The sequence below is a fragment of the Homo sapiens genome, chromosome 1 (assembly GCF_000001405.40).
Source record: "Homo sapiens chromosome 1, GRCh38.p14 Primary Assembly".
NCBI lineage: Eukaryota > Metazoa > Chordata > Mammalia > Primates > Hominidae > Homo > Homo sapiens.
The window spans coordinates 54,156,317-54,177,040 of record NC_000001.11 but is presented as its reverse complement, the minus strand read 5'-3'; the positions used below and the strand labels follow the sequence as shown (position 1 = coordinate 54,177,040).

General features: G+C 50.7%; 1 protein-coding gene across 3 annotated transcripts in view, besides 1 other annotated feature; it reads left to right on the top strand.

Moving 5' to 3' along the window:
• The window catches only part of CYB5RL (cytochrome b5 reductase like), a 30,380-nt gene extending 22,990 nt beyond the window's left edge, over window positions 1–7,390 (top strand). For all 3 annotated transcript variants that reach the window (NM_001353353.2, NM_001353354.2, NM_001031672.4), the window contains one exon: window positions 2,219–7,390. In NM_001353353.2, the coding sequence (NP_001340282.1) occupies window positions 2,219–2,422 (204 nt within the window). In that variant the 3' untranslated portion in view covers window positions 2,423–7,390. The remainder of the gene's footprint in view (window positions 1–2,218) is intronic.
• Window positions 11,500–12,001: an enhancer, noted in NCBI's record as "H3K4me1 hESC enhancer chr1:54630713-54631214 (GRCh37/hg19 assembly coordinates)". NCBI's record gives its function as "activates a minimal SCP1, AML or CMV promoter by ChIP-STARR-seq in naive H9 embryonic stem cells {active_cell/tissue: H9 hESC(naive)}" and the evidence as "EXISTENCE:reporter gene assay evidence [ECO:0000049][PMID:30033119]".

The window sequence follows — 20,724 nt, the reverse complement described above, 5'->3', positions numbered from 1 at the left end:
ATGTCATGGGTCTGCCTATGGTTGCAAGTGTGCTGTGCTTTTCTGGCTTCTGGGCCTTTGCTCACGCCATTCTGCCTGCCAGGAGTGCTCTCCTTTCCTCACCTCCCACCTCTGTACCCCTCACATCCCTGTTGAGGTAGAAGTCCATCCTGGAAGCTTTCCTAGAGCCCCCAGGCTGGCCTTGATGGTTCTGCTGCCACCACCCTGGCTCTCCTTCACAGCACCCACCTGCTGCACCGTCACTGTTTGTGGGGTCCCCTATCCGTCTCACCAGCAGCCAGGCCCAGGGCATCTCAGGGTGCATGGTGGGATAGGCTGAGCTGAACCTAAGTGGTCTGAGGGAAATGAGCAGTGGAAAAGGGGAGGTGAGGCCAGTGGGCCCCAAGGCCCCATCTGGTGGGTCAGACCATAGTGGGAGCTTGGGAAATGCCAGATCATCAGAGAGGATCCCCCTCATCAGCACAGACTCTGTGAGGTGGGGCTCCAGGGGACCCTGTTTGTTTTGTTTTGAGACAGGGTGTCACTCTGTTGCCCATGCTGGAGTGCAGTGGTGCAATCATAACTCACTGAAGCCTCAACCTCCCTGGGCTTAGATGATCCTCCTACCTCAGTCTCCCAAGCAACTGGGACTATAGGCACATAGCATCACCCCTAGCTAATTTTTGTATTTTTTGTAGACCAGCTTTTGTCACATTGCCCAGGCTGGTCTTGAACTCCTGGGCTCAAGCGATCCTGCCACCTCAGCCTCCCAAAGTGCTGGGATTACAGGCTTGAGCCACTGCACCTGCCTCCAGGGCCCTTTGAGTGTGCCTCAGAATAGAGGCCTCTCCTCACAGGGCCTCTCCCAGGGCTTACACCAGCACCACGGCTCTCTGGACAGTGGCTTTCCATAGTGGATACTCTCCTCACAATCATGATCCTGAGAGGTCACAGTCACTCAGCAGGAAAGTGGCAGTGGAGCTCCACTCCCCACCAATCCTGTCTTTGTGCCTAGCCCCAGGAACTAGCAACTTGCCTTCATAGGATCTGCAGAGTGATGGCTCTGTTCTGGATTTTGTTTTTTTGTGGGCTTGTAAGATGGTTTTTTCATTTAAATTCTTCAGACTATATATAGTTGTCCCTTGGTATTCATGGGGGATTGACTCCAGGACCCCCTGCAGATAGCAAAATCTGAGGATGCTCGAGTCCTTGATATAAAATGGTGTGGTATTTGCATGTAATCTATGCACATCCTCCCATGTGACTTAAATTATCTCTAAATTATAATACCTAATACAATGTAAATGTTGAGTAAATAGCTCTTATACTGTATTTTTTGTGTGTTTCTATTGCTATATTGTTATTTTTTAATGTTTTTTAAAAAATATTTTCAATCCACAGTTGGTTGAATCCACAAATGTGGAACCCATGGATACAGAGGGCTAACTGTATACTTAATGATTTGTATACTTTTCTACACATATGTTGTACTCCAATAAAATGTTCATTTAAAAAAATAGAAGAAATTCCTTCAAGTCACCTGGGAGTGGAGCCTTCATTTTGTGACCCTGAGGAGGAAAGCTGCAGCTAAGGCTAGAAGGGCAGAGAGAAGGATCCTGGGTCCGTGGGGTCACCGTCCAGCCTTGGAATGCGAGCTTAGCCTTTCTCAGTGAAGGCATTGTGACCTGGGATCTGTGCTGTATGCAGCCAGGACCCTTGTCTCTTCTGAGCAGCTGCCATATCCCCAGTGGCTAGCTCGGTGCCTGGCACAGAATAAGCACTTGGTAAATATCTGCTAAATGAATATGTTCATTGAAACCTTAAAAGAAATGAGCAAAAGTTATGCTCCGAGGGTGATGATGATAGCTAACCTTGGAAAGATTCTGGGAAACCCACAGTCAGGGGAGAAAACATCCGTCCCACAGTGACAGGTGTGGCTGCTGGAAGGCAGTGAGAAATGGTGGGACTTGAGTTCTGGTCCTGCTGCTGCCCCCGCCTCATTGTGTGCCACAGGGAAGTCCCTCTTCCCTGTGCCTCTGCTGTCGTGGGAGGGTGATAGTTCTCACAGGCTTGTTTTGGAGATAAGGAGGAAATGCCTGGCCCATGGTGGGCCTGGATATAGGTTGGCTTCCTACACCCTCTGCCTTGGTTTCCTCATTTTGCAGAGGAGAGCTGGCTGTGTGAACACTAAGGACCCCCCGCTCCCTTGTAGTCACCCATGCCTTTCTTGTCTTCCCAGGAGAGCTCCTCAGAGCAGCTTCCCTGGAGTTACCAAGAGAAAACCCACTTTGGCCACCTGGGCCAGGACCTAATTAAAGAGCTGGTCAGCTGCTGTCGGAGAAAGCCATTCGCACTGGTCTGTGGCTCGGCTGAGTTCACCAAAGACATAGCCAGGTGCTTACTGTGCGCAGGCCTCACTGAGGACTCCTATTTCCTCTTCTAGCCCTGGCCTCTCTTCCAAAGCCTAGGCCATGAGCCTGCTACTGGGACCCAGGAAGGAGCACAGACTGGAATCAGAAGACACGGAGTCCAGGCCTGGTCCTGCTGCTCATTTGCCAGGTGACCTTGGGCAAGTGTCTTTACTGCTCAGAACCTCTACTTCTCATCTGCCCCATGAGGTTAATCACTCCTCCTGGCCTCCTACTATGTAGAAGGAGGATGGGCTGTAGGGGCCCTGAGGAGGTGAGCAACCAGCCTGGGAGTCAGGGAGGACTCTTCAGAGGAAGCCAAGTCCAGGCTGAGCCCCAGGAGGAGTAGGAGTTGGGCAGGGGAAGAGTCGGGAGGAGCTTCCCTGGCCCCTCCGATTAGAGGATCTAATGGGGGCTCCAACTGTGGCCTCAGCACCATCTCGGATTAGGGGCTCCTGAGTGTGTAGGGAAGGACACGGGAGAGGCTTAGAGCTCTTTGGAGGAGGATTCTGCCTTTCCTCCAGTGCCATGAGCCTGACACATGAAGGTCTTGGGTTCTATGACTTGACCACATCCTGAGAGCAAGGTGGGGCCCTCGACTGTCTTGTATTGGCCCCAAGCCTTTCTTGCTGTGAACAGCTTCATTCTCAGTCCCCTTTCCTGGCTCAAAAATCGAGCCTAGCAAAAGAAGAGGCACGGGAAGGAAACGCCCCTCCCTCCTCCTGCAGGCAGCCACTCAGCCTGTGCCTTCAGCTTGGTGCCCTGGTGATGGTTGCTATGGAGATCTAAAGATAGAGCAGGAGTCAGGAGACCTGGGTCCCTCTCCCAGCTTGTCCCACTGAGCGGCTGCCGATCACGGTCCACCCACCCCAGGAACCTGGCACCCCTATCCCAGGAACCCAGTGCCCCTGGGCAGCGCACTGCAGTTAATGAATTCTGCCTTCAACAGCCTGGGCTCTAGCGTGCTGCACCAGCTTGGGCTAGCTACAGGCAGTCCCAGAATTGGAATATTAAGCCATGGAATCTTAGAGTTAGACTTTTATAGTCATAGAAATGTACTCTTCACCATATCAAAGCTGAAAGTTCAGGACTCTAAGAAACATACAGTGTGACAGACTTATCGTATACACGGGAAACTGAAGCCCAGTGAGACTAAATGACTTGCCCAGGGTAAAACAGTCCATGGCAGAGCCAGCACTAGAAGCCTCCTAGCTTCAACCTCATGTGCCAATTCTGCATCAGTGATTTTCGAACTGCGCTCTACAGGAAGCAAGGGTTCTTTGCATAGCAGCAGTGAAAGGACAGCTCCAGATGGATCCCCAGTACCCCCTTCAACCAGAGCAGCTGCATTTTTATCCCATTCATATATTGGGGTTTTGAATTATTTTTATTTGTACAAAAGGATTTTCCTAGCCACTAAAAAAAATGGCAACAAATCTCTCTGCTGTGTCACATTTAATAAATAATTGTGACACATAGCTGGGGGGTGGTGCTGGAGGTTTCAGACCGCCTCACAGGCAGAGTTCCAGGGTCAGAGAGCATGGAGTACTGTGTGTGACCTTCTTCCAGAAGCACGGGCACAGGAGCATGTTAAAGGCCCTGAAAAGACCAGTGGCAAAGAAACTCCTTTCATTTTGTTTAATCCAGAGTTTTTCAAGCTTATTTAACTATAGAACACTTTTCTGTGGGTTTCGTAGCCTCTTTCTAGCACAGTATAGTGAGTGGGAAAGGCCCTGACTGAGAGTCAAAGATTCTGAGCAGGAACCATGATCTCTTCCTGCCTAGTATGTGACTTGAGCAAGACACTTTTCCTCTCCCCAGGCCTCTGAGGTCTGCGAGTTTTCCTCCACCCTTTCCTCTCCCTCAGTTTGCACATCCTATTGACTCAGCTCCAAATAGCGGGGGCCTGTCAGGAGCCTGACTCTGTTCAGACACCAGGGAAACAACAGCACACCAGGCAGATGCAGTTATGTCCATCGGGGAACTTACAGCCTAGCAAGGAAGGCAGCAATTCAACCTGTAAGTCTAAAAGTGATGGGTGTCATGAAAAGGTAAGTGCAGGGTGCTGGGAGAGTGGTTGGCAGGGGCTTTAGCCTAGTCTAGGGAGAGCCCAGGGGCACACCACTGCCAGCGGGGATAGAGGCTTCAAAAGCTTTGAAGTCACTCATATTAAGAGTGTTGCCGGACACGGTGGCTCATGCCTGTAATCCCAGCACTTTGGGAGGCTGCGGCAGGCAGATTGCCTGAGCCCAGAAGTTCGAGGCCAGCCTGGCCAACATGACAAAACCCTGTCTCTACAAAAAAAAAAAAAAAAAAAAGATTAACCTTATGTGGTGGTATGCGCCTGTAGTCCCAGCTACTTTGGAGGCTGAGGTGGGAGTATTGCTTGAGCCAAGGAGGTCGAGGCTACAGTGAGCTGTGATTGAGCCACTGCACTCCAATCTGTGTGACAGAGCAAGACCCTGTCTCAAAATAATAATAATAAAATCAAAAAGAGTGTTAAGGGGGTCTCCACTTAAGGAGTAGAGAGTCCGGGGCAGTTCTCGTATCTCTGTCCTTGTCTCATTTTAGATGTTTAGATATTTAGATATTATACAAGGCCACCCAGTGGTAACCAACCTAGAATGTGTTGGCCTCCTCTTCCCCTCACTCCGTGTAGGTTCTGTGCAGCCTGGCTGCTGGTGGCATCTCTTATCATGGGACATTGGTGGGGACCCAGCCGTGCCCTTGGTGCCAAGAAGCCTAAAGGGCTCCTGTCGCCTGGAAACTTGAGAGTGCAGGGTCGGGTGCTGTGCCCCACAAGGTGCTGAGCAAGCCCAAGAAGAAGAGTGTGGGGTGTGGTGTGTGAGTTCAGACCTCTTGGAGCTGTGGGGGCATGGTTCCCATCAGCTGCTGTTCCTCTGATGATGCCCACTGCGTGTTGTGGGAGGCGTGGCCACCGTGTGATGTTGTAGTAGGAGAAGGGAGACTTAGGAGCTAGACATGATACGCAGGCATCAAGAGGTCAACCAGGTGTCCACAATCTGTGAGCCACACAGAGCTCTCTTTGTGCATATGCATCCCAAGCTTCAGGAAGGCAACAGCTACTAGAGGGCCTGAGGACAGATTCTTGGTCGCAGAAGCGGCATTGGCTTTAGTTCAGCCCTCACCATGTTTACCAACGTCACTTCTGTGTTCCCCTCATGGGTCTCCCAGCTCCCAGTCTCCATGCCACCTCCACGCTGAGACCAGACCAGTTTTCCCCACACACAAATCCAAGCCTGTCACTCCCCTGCTTGAAATCCTTCCCTGTCTCCCTGTGGCCTTGGGGTAGGGCCTCTCTGCTCTGCCACCTCTCCAGACTTTTTGTATGCCACCGCCCACTCACACCCACCTCTCAGGCTCCAAACATGTTCTCTTGCGTCAGCTCATCCCTTACACTCGCTGCTTCCTCTGCCTGGCCAGCCTCCCACCTTCCGATCTCCCACTCACCTTTTTTGCCTCCTCATCTTTTGAGGTCTCAGCTCAGTGTCACTTCCTCCCGGGAGCCTCGCCTGTCTCTTCCACTCCAGCTTGGTCAGTGAGCAGAGAGGCTTGTGTGCTTTTCTGTCGCTGTACCCATAAGTGTCATCTGCATGTGAGCATGAGGGCCGGCCCATTGTACCCCTAACAGGGGAGGATGCTCAGCACTTCCTGGATGTCGAATACCTGAGCGATAAACAACTAATGTTCAGGAAGTGCTTTCCAGGTGGCAAAAGGTGTTTCCTCTACTTTGAAGCAAGAATCTTCACCAATATACATGCTATTTTATTACCCCAATTTACTGATGAGGAAACTAAGCTTCTGAGACTTCAAGCGATTTTCCAAGGTCATGTAGGGATACACAAGTTCCAGCATGTGATTGTGGTAAAGGTTGTGTGTGACACATGAGTGCAACCAGAGATGTGTATAAAGATTGTTACTGGGCCGGGCGCGGTGGCTCACACCTGTAATCCCAGCACTTTGGGAGGCCGAGGCAGGTGGATCACGAGGTCAGGAGATTGAGACCATCCTGGCTAACACGGTGAAACCCCGTCTGTACTAAAAATACAAAAAATTAGCCAGGCGTGGCATGCGCCTATAGTCCCAGCTACTCGGGAGGCTGAGGCAGGAGAATGGTGTGAACCCGGGAGGCGGAGCTTGCAGGGAGCCAAGATTGTGCCACTGCGCTCCAGCCTGGGCGACAGAGCGAGACTCCATCTTAAAAAAAATAATAAAAGGATTGTTATTGATGACCAGGTGCGGTGGCTCATGCCTGTAATCCCAACACTTTGGGAGGCTGAGGTGGGCAGATCACCTGAGGTCAGGAGTTTGAGACCATGCTGGCCAACATGGTGAAACCCTGTCTCTACTACAGATAGAAAAATTAGCTGGGCATGGTGGTGCGCACCTGTAATCCCAGCTACTTGGGAGGCTGAGGCAGGAGAATTGCTTAAACCCAGGAGGCGGAGGTTGCAGTGAGCCCAGATGGCACCACTGCACTCCAGCCTGGGTGACAGAGCGAGACTCAGTGCCCCCCAAAAAAAGATTTTTATTGCTGCATTCTCTGAAATAGCAAGGAATTAAAAACTGCCTGTAGATACAGCAATTAAAGTGAACTCCATCCGCATGTACCAATATAGACGAAGTCCTAAAAACATAATAACTAAGTGAAATGTACATTGTGAAAGGATAGCTACAGTGAGATACCTGTACTTGGAAACTGTAAAAACCCAAAATAATGCTAAATGCTCAGGAAGAGACAGAGACACACCAGCTTCAAGGATAGTGGTGGCCTGTGGTGATAGGTGGAAGGGAATGGGATGGGGTGATGGGGTTTTTAGCCATATCTGTATTTGTATTTTACTATAAAAATACTTGACATAAACATGACAAAATATGAACCCCTGGTAAATCTGGGCAATGAGTTCCCCAATGTCTACTATATTATTTTCTACCTTTTTCTGTTTTTCAAATAGTTCCATAATTAAACATTTAAAAAAAAATCCAATGTGCTTGTTCAATGCTCTCTAGAAACTAGGGGCTTAGAAACATTCACTTTCTCTCTCCTACCTCAGAATGGACTATGCCTCTTTATCCCCCCACACATTTTAGCCATTCACTGAAGATTATTTCTGAGCATGAACTGTGTTCCAGGCCCCATTCTAGGTGCAGGAGACACAGCAGTAAATCATATAAATCATTCCTGGTATTCATAGCTGATGGGCTGTTCCCTCTACTTGTCCCTCTTCCTCATAAACTCAAACCAGAATGACTTGCCAAGCACCACACTGTTGGCCTATTTTTTTCTTTCTTTTTTTGTCGTTTTGTTTTCCTTTGTCAAGGAAGCAGACCTAGGTTTGAGTCTCTTACTGATCCTGTGACCTATGGCAAGTAACTTGGGCTCTGTGAACCTCAGTTTGCTCATCTATAAAATGGGAATGGTAACACTGTCTCCTGGGGTTGTGTGAGGATGAGGGAAATGTGTAAACCCCAAACACAGCACCTGGCACGGAGTGGGTGTAAGACCCCGTTCCCCCTTCTTTCTCCCTCCCCAACAGTGCCCTGACTCATGGTTGACCTCTGAGGACAGCATTTATTTCCAGACTTTCACTATCAAGAACTCTCCTTTTTATTATTTTTCCCATGCTTTGGGAGATTTTGATCCCAAATTGCATGTTTTAAGTCATTATTAATTTATCTCCCATTTTTTATTAATCAAAGACACAGATAGCTGCCCCTCAGAGCTTCTGATCTGTACATCCAGCTGGGAGCTGCAGTGGTTGACATAATTCCAGCCAGAGGCAAAGGAGCTCAGCAGTGTGTGTGGCCCAGGTGGCCCAAGGAGGGGAAACGTAGGTGCATCTTACTCTGTTTCTTTTTTTTAATGGACCATGAGTCATGGAAGCTGCTGGGGTTGCCCAGGTAGGTGCTGCTTTCACAGGGGATCACTGACTGATGGGCTGGAGGCTGAGGTTTGGGTGCCAGGGTCTAATGTGGGGCCCCACGTGGGCCTCATCCTGCAGGGCTCACTCCAAACAGATGTCATGCACCAGTGCCACGCAGAAGAGCGTGGGTTCACATAGTGGGAGGTGGGAAAGCTGTCTGCATGCAGGTCCCACAGGCTCTGGCTGGAGACCACCACATCGTCCTGCCCCTGGCTCCCAATGCTAATAGAGCAGACTAACTTGTAGCGGGGCAAGGTGACACCCTTGACCTGGTCCCAGCACTCAAAATCATGGCCAGGTGGGCACAATGGGCCGGCTGGTGGGCCTCACCAGCCAGCTTAGAAGGCAGGTGAGCCATATCAGCTCCTCTGCCCAGATGCAGGGGAACTTCACCTCCAGCCTGGTGGACCCCAACGGAACCTGGAAGGAGAGGGAGGTGGTGGTGGTGGAGGAGGAGGGGTGTATTTGCAACAAGCAGAGCATTTGGCACATTAGGCTTGAAGCCTAATGTGTTGAACACAGAACCCTGAGTTGGAACATATGATTTGGAACAATGGAGGGAAAATGGGATGTAGGCCCTGGAACACAAGAAAACAACTTTATAAACTGTAGAGTGTGTGTATATGACAGAGATTAACCTAGCTTCCAAGTGGCTGAGGCTACAGACCCATGAGGCTACAGGCTGAGGCCCGTGGCCCTCAGTCCCCTCCCTCTTGCTGCATCCCCAGGCCACAGGCCCATACTTGCTCCTGGAAGATGCTGATGAGCCACCGGTGACTCAGCTAGAGCTGCAACCGTGTTCTCAAAGCTGTCTGTTTCTATAAAAATGAAAATGAGTGTCAAGGTAGACAGCATTTGCTAAGTGTCTACTGGGTACCAGGCTGTAAAATGTTACTGTTTTAGGCTGGGTTTGCCCCAAAGCTGACGCTGAACAAGGATGTGGGTGCAAGAAGTTTATGTGGAGGTGCTTCAGGGAAGCATGGTGAGGAAGTCATGGGGAAAGACAATGAAGGGCATGTGGATGGACAGGCTACTCCTGGTGGCACCCGGAGCTCTTTCTGCTGGGGCCTTGCCAAGAGACTGTGTGGAACATGCCTCAGTGATCCCACCGAGGGATGGAGAAGCTGGGGCATTTATGCACCGACAACCAGACTCCTTATTGGCCGAGAACATGAACTCCTGGCACTTCAGCTTCCTCTGGGTGGGCCAAGTGTTTGGCAGCCAGAGAAGCCCCCAGGCAGAGACACACAGGAAGCCATCAGTGCACATAGAAAAGTTCCCGCAGTTACCTCCAGTTGGGCGGGGGATATGGATAAGCACATCAACAGTGTCTGCTATGTCACTTTGCTTTATTCTCACAATCCTTAGGGATCAGCAGCTTCTTTATTTTATAGGCAAAGAAATTGATAAGCAAGAGGTAAAGGAGCTAGTGGAGAAAGTGGTGTTCTTGTATGAGGGCAGGGCTCGATACTGTATCCCCTCCCCACCCCATGACCACATCTAGTGTGATGTCTGGCTGGCCACTGTGTGGAGGCAGTGTCTGTTGAAGGAAGGGGTGAGCTGGTGGAAGCCGTGTGACCGTGAGTTGGTGACCACTCTTCTGTCAGATGAAGATGCTGGTTCTTTCCTCCCGGGGCTGCTTTGCGGAGTAGAGGAGATTGTGTGAACCAAGTGGTCAGCTCAGTGCCTAGCCCACAGGGGAGTGTCAGTGAATGTTAATTCCCTTCTCCTGCTTCCCTCTAAGGGGATGATATGGTTTGGCTGTGTCCCCTTCCAAATCTTAACTTGAATTGCATCTCCCAGAATTCCCATGTGTTGTGGGAGGAACCCAGGGGGAGGTAATTGAATCATGGGGGCCAGTCTTTCCCATGCTGTTCTCATGGTAGATAATAACTCTCACAAGATCTGATGGTTTTATCAGGGATTTCCACTTTTGCGTCTTCCTCATTTTCTCTTGCCACCACTATGTAAGAAGTACCTTTCGCCTCCCGCCATGATTCTGAGGCCTCCCCAGCCATGTGGGACTGTAAGTCCAATTAAAGCTTTTCTTCCCCGTCTCAGGTATGTCTTTATCAGCAGCGTGAAAATGGACTAATACAGTAAAATGGTACCAATAGAGGGGGGCGTTGCTGAAAAGATACCCGAAAATGCGGAAGTGACTTTGGAACTGGGTAACAGGCAGAGGCTGGAACAGTTTGGAGGCCTCAGAAGAAGACAGGAAAATGTGGGAAAGTTTGGAACTTCCTAGAGATTTGTTGAATGGCTTTGCCCAAAATGCTGATAGCGATATGAACAATAAGGTCCAGGCTGAGGTGGTCTCAGATGGAGATGAGGAACTTGTTGGGAACTGGAGCAAAGGTGACTCTTGTTATGTTTTAGCAGAGAAACTGGCGGCATTTTGCCCCTGCCCTAGAGATTTGTGGAACTTTGAACTTGAGTGAGATGATTTAGGGTATCTGGTGGAAGAAATTTCTAAGCAGAAAAGCTTTCAAGAGGTGACTTGGGTACTGTTAAAAGCATCCCATTTTAAAAGGGAAACAGAGCAGAAAAGTTTGGAAAATTTGCACCCTGATGATGCAGTAGAAAAAAAAATTTTTTTTTTTTGAAATGGAGTCTTGCTCTGTTGCCCAGGCTGGAGCGCAGTGGCGCAATCTAGGCTCACTGCAACCTCCACCTCTTGGGTTCAAGCGATTCTCCTGCCTCACAATTTTTTGTATTTTTAGTAGAGACGGGGTTTCACCATGTTAACCAGGATGGTCTCGATCTCCTGACCTCGTGATCCACCTTCCTCGGCCTCCCAAAGTGCTGGGATTACAGGCGTCAGCCACCACTTCCGGCCAAAAAACCATTTTTTAGGAGAAATTCAAGCCATGGAAATTTGCATAAGTAGCAAGGAGCCTAATGTTAATCCCCAAGACCTTGGGGAAAATGTCTCCAGGCCATGTCAGAGAACTTCACGGCAGCCTCTCCCATCACAGGACCGGAAGCCCAGGAGGAAAAAGTGGTTTCATGGGCCGGGCCCAGGGTGCTCGTGCAGTGTGCAATCTAGAGACATGGTGCCCTACCCAACTGCTCCAGCCATGGCTGAAAGGGGCCAATGGACAGCTTGGGCTATGGTTTCAGAGAATGGAAGCCCCACTTGGCAGCTTCCACGTGGTGTTGAGCCTGTGGGTGCACAGAAGTCACGAGTTGAGGTTTGGGAACCTCCACCTAGATTTCAGAGGATATATGGAAACGCCTGGATGCGCAAGCAAAAGTTTGCTGCCGGGGCGGGGCCCTCATGGAGAACCTCTGCTAGGGCAGTGTGGAAGGGAAATGTGGAGTTGGAGCCCCCACCGAGTCCCTACTGGGGGTACCGCCTAGTGGAACTGTGAGAAGAGAAGAGCTACCGCCGTCCTCCAGACCCAGAATGGTAGATCCACCGACAGCTTGCGCCGTGTACCTGGACAAGCTGCAGACACGACAACACACAACTCCAGCTCTTGAAAGCAGCCGGGAAGGAGGCTGTACCCTGCAAAGCCACAGGGGCGGAGCTGCCCCAGACCATTGTAACCCACCTCTTGCATCAGTGTGACCTGGATGTGAGACCTAGAGTCAAAGGAGATTATTTTGGAGCTTTAAAATGTGTCTGCCCTGCTGGATTTCAGACTTCCATGGGCCCTGTAATGCCTTTTTTTTTTTTTTTTTTGGCATTTTCTCCCATTTGGAACACCTGTATTTACCCAATGCCTGTACCCCTGTTGTATCTAGGAAGTAACTAGCTTGCTTTTGATTTTACAGGCTCATAGACAGAAGGGACTTGCCTTGTCTTAGATGAGACTTTGGACTGTGGACTTTTGGGTTAATGCTGAAATGAGTTAAGACTTTGAGGGACTATTGGGAAGGTTTTGAAGTGTGAGGACATGAGATTTGGAGGCCAGGGGCAGAATGATATGGTTTGGCTGTGTCCCATTCAAATTTCAACTTGAATTATATCTCCCAGAATTCTCACGTGTTGTGGGAGGGACTCGGGGAGGTAATTGAATCATGGGGGCCATTCTTTCAAACCCTGCTGTTCTCGTGATAGTGAATAAGTCTCACGAGATCTGATGGGTTTATTAGGAGTTTCCGCTTTTGCTTCTTCCCCATTTCTTTTGCCAGTACCTTTTGCCTCCTGCCATGATTCTGAGGCCTCCCCAGCCATGTGGAACTGTAAGTCCAATTAAACCTCTTTTTTTGGCCGGGCGCGTTGGCTCACGCCTGTAATCCCAGCACTTTGGGAGGCCGAGGTGGGTGGATCACCTGAGGTTAGGAGTTTGAGACCAGCCTGGCCAACGTGGTAAAAACCCATCTCTACTAAAAAAATACAAAAATTAGCTGGCTTTGTGTAATCCCAGCTACCCAGGAGGCTGAGGCAGGAGAATCACTGGAACCCGGGAGGCAGAGGCTGCAGTGAGCCAAGATCGTGCCACTGCACTCCAGCCTGGGCAACAGAGCAAGACTCAGTCTCATAAATAAATAAATAAATAAATAACACCTCTTTTTCTCCCAGTCTTTGGTATGTCTTTATCAGCAGCATGAAAACGGACTAATACAGGGGAGCTGGGGTCTTTGGCAAGGAGCAAACCTTCTTGCCCAGTTCAGTGATCCCTGGCCCTCTGGATAAATGGATCTTTTCCTCCAGGGAATCTCCAGAATATCTCTACTGGCTCTGTCCAGCCAACTCTGAAGCCTGTCCAAGTTCCCCCATGGTAATGCCACAAAGCCCAGCACCAGCCTGCCTTACTCTGGGTTCCTCCAGGGAAGAATGCCTCGCCCCTGCCCCCTCATATTTCCCACCTTGCCTTGAAGAGCTGCTTACAACTTGCAGCGCCTGCTTCCTCCCCTCCCTTCATTCCTCAACCCACTGCAGCCTGGTGTCCACTCCCCATCTCCACCCCATGTGCTCCCGATAAGGTCCCTGCTATCCAGAGCTCATTTCTCAGCAGCATTTGAGGCAACGGTCAATTGCTTCCTTTCTGGGCTGCAGTTTCCTCAATAGGATAGTAATTCCTACCTAGTTGATTGTTCTGGGAACTAAATAAGTCATTCATGCAGGTGTTCAGCAGACATTCCCGAACACCTGCTTCTATGCAGGTTTTCTGCTGAGTTCCTGAGGACCCTGACTCGAGGAGTCCACCGTCTCCTGGGGGCTGCAGATGCTGTCAAAACAAATGTGAAAGGTCTGGTGCTCGGCCTGCTACCCAGTAGACACTCAGTGAGTGTGGGCTTCTGTCTTTTCTTTCTGCTCTCTCTGGGCCTCAGTTTCCACAGCCAGCAAAGGGGGTAGGAAGAGGGGGTTGGACTTGCTCTCTAGAGTCCCCTCCAGCTTTGCTAGTCCAAAGCTTAGGCACACCCTTCTCTCTGAGCTCTTCGCTGTCACTCTGAGCTCCCTGCTGAGCCTGTGAACAGTAGGAGGCCCAGGGGCCTGGGTGTGGCAGCTTCTGTGTCTGGGCTTTCCAAGCTCCAGCTTGGCTGGCCCTCTTTCCTGATGGAGGACCTGTTGAGGGAGCACTGCTCCCCTGACCGGAATGACCAGCAGCCTGAGGGGAAACACAAGTGGACAGGTTGGAGGCGGGAGAAACCCAGGGCTCTTAAAGAAGGAGCCTCTATGGGGGTCTTGCCCCCAGCTGCCTGCCTCTCCAGACATCTACAGCCCACGGCCCTCATCTGCACCCCAGCTCACAGCTCTTCCTCTCCACCAGTGAGGTTCCCATGTGTGGAATTAGCACTGTGGTAAGAACACAGGCTTTGGAGCTGGTCAGACATAGGTTCAAATCTCAGCTCTGCCATTGAGCCCCTGTGTGATTTTGGGCAAATCACTTAATTTCTCTGAACTGCAGTTTCTTTTTATTTTTTTCTTGAGACGGAGTCTCTCTCTGTTCCCCACGCTGGAGTGCAGTGGCCGCCATCTTGGTTCACTGCAACCTCTGTCTCCCAGGTTCAAGCAATTATCCCTGCCTCAGCCTCCCAAGTAGCTGGGATTATAGGCGCCCGCCACCATGCCCGGCTAATTTTTGTATTTTTAGTAGAGACGGGATTTCACCATGTTAGCCAGGCTGGTCTTGAACTCCTGACCTCAAGTAAACTGCCCGCCTCAGCCTCCCAAAGTGCTGGGATTACAGGCGTGAGCCACTGCACCTGGGGCCAGAACTGCAGTTTCCACATTTTTAAACTGTGGATGTTTTCATTCCTTCTCTCAACAGGTATCTGTTGAGCACTTAATCTGTGCCACGTGCTGAAACACAGCAGTGAACAAAATGCAGTTCTCTGCCCTCCCAGTGTTTAAGCTGGTAGGGAAGTCAGACAGCGAACCAGGGGTGTCAAGCAGGGTGATACTGCCCCTGGGGGAGTGTTTGGAAATAGTGGGGGATGCTAACGCCTCCCCACACAGCTATGGGTATTAAATGGGATAATGTGCAAAAGTATCACGCATTGAGCCTGGCACATAGTAGGTACTCAATAGATGCTGGTTGAATAAATAAAATGAATAAAAGCCATTCTCTCTGAGCCCTAGTCACCAAATAGTGAAATGGAGCTGGTAATTCTTACCTTGCAAAGGTGTTATACAGATCTTAATTTAAATTAATGAACGTTTAAATAGAGCTTCCCACATGGCCATGTGCTCTTCTTCCATACCCTTTACATTTTACCTCATTGTTCCCATTTTACAGATGAGGAAACTGAGATACAGAGGGGAGGTTAAGAAACTTGCCCAAGGTCACCTAGTTTGGATATGGCTGGATATGAGTGTGCCTGGCAAACAGTAGGAGTTCAATATTTGCTTTATTGTGGAGCAGGGAGGTGTTAGGCTTGGTATCCAGGGCAAGGCAGGGCACTGTGGAAGGCTCCTGTGCTGAGCTGTTCTTAGTCCCTAGAGCTGGTTGTGAATGAGTAGCCGAGGGGAGTTAGGGAGGGGTGAAGTGTGGTGGGAAGGATGAGAAGGGGTGAGGATGGGAAGGCCCACAGGGGAAAAGCCAGCAGCAAAACATTCCAGCCAACGCCCTGGAGGTCAGGGTCCTGGGACAGCCATTCCAGCAGGGAAGGGCACAGGGCAGCTTCCCTTCTGTAACCGTGAACTTCCTCCACGTACCTTGGCTTGCTGAAGGCCCTAACTTGGCCAAAGACGCAAGACTAATTAGTGGTCAAAGGAGTGTGAGGAGAGAATGGACCAACAGGAGGCTTCCTGTGCATATCTCCCCACCCTGCTGCCTCCTGGCCCTGCCGATCCTCTTTCAGGACCCTCTTCCATCCGACTCCCCTGGCGGCCCGATCTGGTGGCTCAGAGGACCAGCATTGCAGCTGGACAGTCCCGGATTTGAATCCTGGTTCTGCCACTTAGAGGATGTGAGGTCCTGGGCAGTTACTTCACCCCAGTTTCTTCATCTGTGCAATGGGCAGTTGTGGTCTCTATTCAGAGGGCCATGATGAGGATTAAATGCCCCCTGCAAAGTGCTTAGTGAATCCCCCAGCCCCGTCCGCGGCCCCTCTAGTCATTGCTCAGGTTGCTGTGGTGGCACTCATCCACTTGTGAACACATGGACACCTACTGGTGCACAGTGCTTTACAGTTTACAAAGCCCTTTTGCCTTCTGGATCTTGCATCAGTCCTCACGGCAGCCCAGCAAGGTACTTTACACGTGGGAAACTGAGGCCCACAAGAATAAGTGAGTGAGTTGCCCCAGGTTATGCAGCAAGTCAGATGTGGAACTAGAATCCAAACCCTTGCTCCTTCCACAAAACCATGGGCAGGAACAGTGGCTAGTGCTGCCAGGAACACTCATATCTCACAGAGCTATGAGGGGCAGGCGGATCCCACGAGGGGCCATTCTTTGCCTGACTCCCAGCACTCACCCTGCCCCAGCTTTGGAAGCAGCCCCTTCACGTTGCTGGGCCTCAGGTCCCTCATCTGTGATGTGGGGACAGTACACTCTCCTGCAGGTTTGGGAGGCTCAGCGAGATAGGGTGTGGGAGGGCCCAGAGCTAGGGGTGGGGGTCAAAATGGCAGCAATTCTGGCCCCCTCCTTACTTTCTTCCCACTGGCCCAGGAGCTGGAGGCTATGAAGGTCATGCCCTTGTCTGAGGGCTCTTGGGAAATCTTGTCTTTGGCCCATCTGGACTTCCAGGATGTCATTCCTGGCATGTGATTGTCACATTCCAGCCTTTGGGAACGGGAACTGAGCAGAGAGACTGTGAGAGAAATTGAGAGACTCAGAGAGAGGGGAAGGAAGGGGACACAGCGTCCTCATCCTCCTCTTGGCACAGTCCCATCCCTAGGGTGGGGTGTGAGGAGCCAGCAAGACCCCATGGGCTGCATCCCAGTCCACCAGCAGCCTTGGCTCGGTCAGGGTTGCCACTCACCTCCCTTGCTGTCAGCTTTCCACCTTTCTGTGTGATCCTTCACCCCTCTCTCTCCTGTATTCCTGCCCTGTTTCTCCTTCCCCTCCTCCATCATGTAGGGACCCCCACCCCACTCATACACACACCCACTTGTACTGTGCTGACTCCATGGCTACCAGGCTCTGACAGAGGAGGTCTGGAGGTAACAGGCACCTCAGGAGCAGAGAGTGAGGACTGTTTCCCGAGGGCCCTGCCTTGTGGCCTCTGCATAGGGCCCCTACTCATCGAAAACTCCCCCCCAAGTCCCCAGGGCCCTTGTTAAGGGAGAAATGTGGCTGCTGGAGCCCAGCCAGGAATCCCCAGGGGTGGAGTGGCCTTCCTGCTCCTGCCCTCTGCCACACCCCCAGGTCAGCCCAGACCTCTGTGGACAAGGAGGTGTTAGGCAGCACCTTGCTATCACCTGGGCACCACCCCTGGACCCGGGAACCAGTGACAGGATACAGATATGAAGACAAAACGTGCTTAGAGAGAGCCCCAGCTATAGAGGTGCACCCTTGGAGACCTCCACAGACATGCACAGAGGTATGCAGATGTGTACCCCAGAGCTTTGTGACCATCTATACTCAAAGCTCCACACACTCGGGCACAGATCTATACACCAGCAGAAGCTGTGTACCCATGGAATAGATGTGCACTTATAAAGATAGACGTGTCCATATGAAGAGACACACATATAGTTCTCGTGATACTCACACACACAGCTGTGACATTTGCATGTAGACATGGACATTCACTCAAAATCTTTGTATATATCCAGAGGGAGAAATAAACACATATATGTCTGGGTACATGCAGATCTAGTTGTATATCCCTAGATGTATAGAGAGACATGTATATATACTGAGACAGTACTGTGTGATCCAGGCGTGTGCACAGAGATGGATATGTGTACAAGGAAGCACGTGTGAATGCAATGATGGGTGCAGTGGCACAAGGCATATTCTTTTTTTTTTTTTTTTTTTAAGATGGAGTCTCACTCTGTCACCCAGGCTGGAGTGCAATGGCACGATGATCTTGGGTCACTGCAACCTCCACCCACTGGGTTCAAGCGATTTTCCTGCCTCAGCCTCCCGAGTAGCTGGGATTACAGGTGCTCACCACCATGCCCAGCTAATTTTTGTATTTTTAGTAGAAACGGGGTTTTGCCATGTTGGCCAGGCTGGTCTCGAACTCCTGACCTCAGGTGATCTGTCCGCCTTGGCCTCCCAAAGTGCTGGGATTACAGGCGTGAGCCACCACACCCGGCCACACAAGGCATATTCACAAGCAGAGGACAGTCACCCACAGAAAGACTACTATACTTAGTGCCCAATGCATAGATATTAAGATGGGATCATGTACCCAAGAAAACAGCAAGACCAGATGATGAACATTTATTTCTTCATTCTACTGTTAAGGTCATTTGGGGAGTTCCAGTTATTTGCTCTTTTAGAAAAAAACCTTTTAGTTAATTTTTAAGTCATGAGGAGGGAGACACCAAACATCTAAACATAATATCATCTACGCAAATGTTTACTATTTATACAGGCATCAGAGTAAACTAAAATAAAACTTCCCTTCAGCACATGGTTTTTGCTTTGGTTTGTCTTGGACTCTTTCGGTTCTTCATTTTTTGCTCCTTCCCTCCTGGCCCTCTAAGTGATATGAGGTCAAGTCATGGTTCTCAAGGTGTGGTCTAAGGAATCTTGGGGGTCTCTGAAACATGAATTTTCTGGCATACACCCAGAGATGGGTGCACATAGGTGCACAGTGCCAGAAATGGGCACACACAGCATCAGCCCCCTGCCCTTGGACAGCATCCATCCCAGGAGCATACTCTCAACCTCCTGGAGAGCCCTAGGCCTACTAGCTCCAGGGTGCTGCAGAGCCAGCCATAGACAGAAGCGGTCATCATATGCCAAGAGAGCCCCTGGAAGTTTGAGGCTGGGTCCTCCGGGCTCAGCCATGGGAGTCAGCACAGCAGGGCACTGGCAGGCACCCAGGCATCCATATTGACTCATCTTGTGGGTGGCTCAGGCACTCCCTAATGCCCCTGGCAGGCAGGCAGCCTTTGTTCCCTCTCTACCACCTCCCCTGGGGACCAGGAGAGAAGTCACGGCCAGGCTGCTGATTGGAGGGAGGGGCAGCCAGGCAGCAGGAGGCCCCACCCAGAGGTGACTTCAAGGAGAGATGGGTTCAAAAGAAAAAATACAAGAAGACCTGAGGTCTTCAATGAGGTCAGTGCATTCTGAACTTATTATACTATGTGCTGGCACAGGTCTCCACATTCCCCATGTGCTGGCCCCTTCAATCCTTATCACGCCTTGCAGGTAGACACCACTCTCCTCATTTCACCGACAACGAATCAGAGGCCTAGAGGGACCAAGTAACTTTACTTGTCCAAGGCCACACAGCTAGTAACTGCCAGAGTTGTGATTTGTACTGACATGGTCTGGGTTCTGGGTGCTCGTGCTGAACTGCTCTACCAGGCCACCCTGCCACTCCATCCAGCAGGTGCCGTAGTCTGAATGGCTGCTCCAAAACTCATGAAATCCCAACCCCCATGGCTCTGGTATTAGGCGGCAGGGCCTTTGGGGAGGTGATGGGATTAGCACCATTATAAAATAGGCCCACAGGAGCTTGTTCACCCCTTCCACCATGTGAGGACATGGCAAGAAGCCATCTGTGAGCCAGGAAATCGACCTCTACCAGACAGAATCTGCTGGCACCTTGATCTTGGACTTGCCAGCCTCCAGAACTGGGAGAAGTAAATGTCTGTTGATGATAAGCCACCCGGTCTACGGCATTTTGTTATGGCAGCCCACATGAACTCAGCAGGGTTAAAAGCAGATTTTGAACACATATGAACATGGGTTCACATTGACAAAGACATTTCCTAGCGGTGCATCCTTGAGTAGTGCAATCCATGGATGGCTGCTGAGCACTTAGGATGTGCTAGGGAGGCAGTGGAGACGGACATAAGGGAGAGGATGCGCTCTGGACCAAGTTCTGTGCAGAGCACTGGAATGAAAGCCCAGAAGGCCGAGGATATCCTCAGAAAAACCATCCAGCTGGGGTGCAGGTGTCCCCTCTGTGCTAGAGGTGCACCCAGCGAAAAGGAACTCTCCCAGCTTGGGGTGGGGTCAAGATAACCCCTTGGAGGAGGTGACAACTGTTTTAAAGGTTCAGAGTCCACCAAGGGCCAGTGGGGCAGAAAGCAGGGCAATGCAGGCTCAGGGCACAGCACATGCAGAGAAGTGAGAGAGATGTCGGGGGCCAGGGTATGGAGCTCGAGAGGTGGAGAAAGTCTGAGACGTGTTAGGGAGGTGACCTGAAGGGGTATGAATGCCAAAAAGAAGACTTTGGATTTTAGCCTAAGTGGTAGAATGGCATGATCATATTAGCATTTTATTTTATTTTATTTATTTTATTTTATTTTTTGAGACAGAGTCTCACTCTGTTGCTCAGGCTGGAGTGCAGTGGCGTGATCTCAGCTCACTGCAACCTCCGACTCCCAGGTTCAAGTGATTCTCCTGCCTCAGCCTTCTGAGTAGCTGGGATTACAGGTGCCAACCATCATGCCCAACTAATTTTTGTATTTTTAGTAGAGACAGGGTTTCACCATGTTGGCCAGGCTGGTCTTGAACTCCTGACCTCAAGTGATCCGCCCGCCTCAGCCTCCCAAAGTGCTGGGATTACAGGTGTGAGCCATCGTGCCTGGCTCAGATTCGCATTTTAGAAAGATCATAGGATGGGACAGGGCAGCAAGTAGTAGAATGTGGTTTTAGGGTGGGCAGGGAGCAGGCAGGAGCAGAGACACCCAGGCCAGTGAGGAGGCTGCTGAATCATGCAGGAGAGATGGCGAACTGGGGTAGTTATGGCTTCAGATGCCATTTCAGAGGCAGAAGTGGTAACTAAACTCAAGTGTGACCAATGGGTGTGGGAGTGAGGGGAAAGGAAGTTGGGGCAGGCTCCTACATTGCTGGCTTTATGGGT